The sequence below is a fragment of the Homo sapiens genome, chromosome 8, assembly GCF_000001405.40.
Source record: "Homo sapiens chromosome 8, GRCh38.p14 Primary Assembly".
In the NCBI taxonomy this organism is placed as follows: Eukaryota; Metazoa; Chordata; class Mammalia; order Primates; family Hominidae; genus Homo; species Homo sapiens.
In genome coordinates, this window is record NC_000008.11 from 6,950,431 (window position 1) to 6,953,070 (window position 2,640).

General features: G+C 44.4%; 1 pseudogene across 1 annotated transcript; it reads right to left on the reverse strand.

Annotated features, from left to right (window-relative positions):
• Positions 1-295: 295 nt before the first annotated feature.
• Positions 296-1,169, reverse strand: DEFA8P (defensin alpha 8, pseudogene; annotated as a pseudogene). The gene is made up of 2 exons (NR_073407.1): positions 998-1,169; positions 296-408 (listed from the first exon to the last, which is right to left on the reverse strand). The product of NR_073407.1 is annotated as a defensin alpha 8, pseudogene (transcript).
• Positions 1,170-2,640: the final 1,471 nt, after the last annotated feature.

Sequence of the window (2,640 nt, forward strand, 5' to 3'; positions counted from 1 at the left end):
GGTGACACTGGACCTTCATTTCAACTTAGGTTTGAAGCTCAAATTCCTGCTTGAAATTCCTAGAATTATGAATTATAGTTTGTTCAAAAATTTGATTTAGGTTTCACGTACATGTATCCCAAATGTGTTGACACAGACACATACCACACGTTAAAGAGGTGTAAACACAAAAGTCTTGTTAGAAGACATTTATTTGGGATGAGGAAAGGAAACTGAGGACAGGGTATAGGAGTAACAGCAATTCTCTGTAGCTCTGAAGACAAATTATGAGCTCGTTTTTCTCTCTTCCGGAAGCTCAGCTGAAGCAGTATGGGTAGCGTACTCCAGGAGCACTGCAAGTCCCTCTACGGTGTTCTCCAGGACTGTAGGAATCTCATCTGCAGGTGCAGGTCAAGCCCCTCCTTGAGCCTACAGACACAGAGACAGCATCCAAAATTGAGCACCAAGGTCAGCAGTGGGTGGTAAAGGGAATCTTGGAGAAGTCACATGCTGAGTGATAGGTGACGTTGGCTGTATTAGGGCCGGTAGCACAAACAGCCTCAGTCAATAGGAATAAAAACACAGTGGAGTGCTGGTGTCACAGGATTTGAGACTCACTCTCATTTGCTTTCATTTTTGTGCTCCGGCCCCATCACATACACACCTGAACACACTGTTAGGCCCATCCCGAGTCTTTAAAAGAGATTCTCTATCGACAGAGAAAAATATTCTCCTAATAATTAAGTCTACTTGTTTAGATCCAGAACGAACTAGTTAGTATGTCTCTCTGTATTTTAAACATAGTGAATTTCACAGACATATCTTGGAATGAAGTTTTGGGAGAAGAAAATCTCTTAGATTTCTTTGGCTCTCTACTCAATTTATAGATGAGAAAATCAAGGCTTAGAGATGCTAAGTGGAGCCACCTAAGTGACATGGACCATTGAGACTCGATTCCAGACTCTGTCTCCTGTCTGTCCCTCTAGACACTGCAGCTCTGCATGCCGGCTTGTCTTACCTGAAACCTGAAGAGGAGCTCTTTCATCCCATGCAAAGGAATCAACCACTTCCTGATCATCTGCTCCAGGCTGCTCCTGGGCTGTAGCCTCATCAGCAATTGCCTGGAGTGGCTCCGCCCGAGCCTGCAGGGCCACCAGGAGAATGGCAGCAAGGAGGGCAAGGCTCCTTATGGCTGGGGTCACCTGGAGGAGAGAGAGCAGGAGCGGATGTGTGGGGAGGGAGGAGTCTGCCTAGATTTATAGCTGGGAGAAGGCTCAGAGACAAACCTTCTTGAACCTTCTCAGTGAGAGGAGGTGGAGATTCGTTGGAGAGGGTGTGGATATCCATTGGCTTCAATGTTCCTCCTTTCCTTCTCTGCTCTCCCAGCTTTCATTCTAGCATGCATCTCTATGTTGAGTGTCTTGGCTGGGTTGGAGCTGATGGTGATGATGAGGACCCTGCCATGATGATGTGCTTTCATTCAGTGAATTCAGGGAATAAAGGCCTCTTACTTTCTGAAGATGGGCTCTACTGTTCTCTGGAAGTCTAGACCTGGACCCAGTGGAGTAGAGAATTAATTCATTGCAGGCTTTGAAGGCATTACCACCCTCATGAAGGGGTTTTTGAGGTTACGCGGTGAGGAATCTGCTGTAGGGGCCAGGGTGGAGAGGACAATGACCTCATCAGGCTACAGGTAAAACAAGCTCAGTGACATAAAGAGTTGTCTAAGGCTAAAAATGTCTATGATTTCCATCTCTATTTAGGTGTGAGTGACAAAAATTATATATGTGTAATGTATACTACCTTATGAGTTGATATATGTATATATTTGGACCTTTATCTTATACCATGTAGAAAAATCAAGTCCAAATGATTAGAAGACCTAAACATAGACCCGAAACCATAAAATGATGAGAGGAACAGATGAAGATAAAGCTTTGACGTTGATGTGGGTAATGATTTCTTGGCTATGACACCAACGACACAGGCAATAAAGGGGAAAAGACACAAGTGGAGATGCACTGAATGCTAAAGGATCTGCACGTCAGAAAACAACCAAACAATCAACTGAGTGAAAAGGCAAGCCAGAAAATGAGAGAAAATATTTGCAAACCCTACATGATAGAAAGGGTAAATATCTGAAGACATAAGGAAATCAAACAACTCAATAGCAAAAAACAAATAATCTGATTGGAAAACAGACCAATGACCTGAATAGACTTCTCTCAAAAGAATGTTCTAAAGAGCTATGATCATGTCTACTGGACATGTCAATTAGGACACGTGTGTTTAGAAGGAAACTGCTTGAGTTTCTCTGTTAACTTAGCTGGTAGCCAATGCCCCCAGCAGCCACCAGAGGTTCAGACAGATGTTCACAGCAGGGGATTCACCTGCTGGGCCCCTCTGGGGTGGCCTGGGAGTCACAGTTCAGATTGGGGGCACAGCCTCAATGTTGAAACCTCAATGTGAAAGTTTAAATTTTGTGTTACTTACAGATCCTCAAGCTAGGCAGGGTGAGCAGAGAGGGCAGACAGCAGTCCTGTGTTCCAGGTCTTATGTAGCAAGAGCATCTGTGCACATCCCAGAGAGGACTTCCCCTATTTAAAGGTCTTTGGGGATCAGGTGTCCTAATTTCCAGGGTTATTTTCTGTTGGGTACATT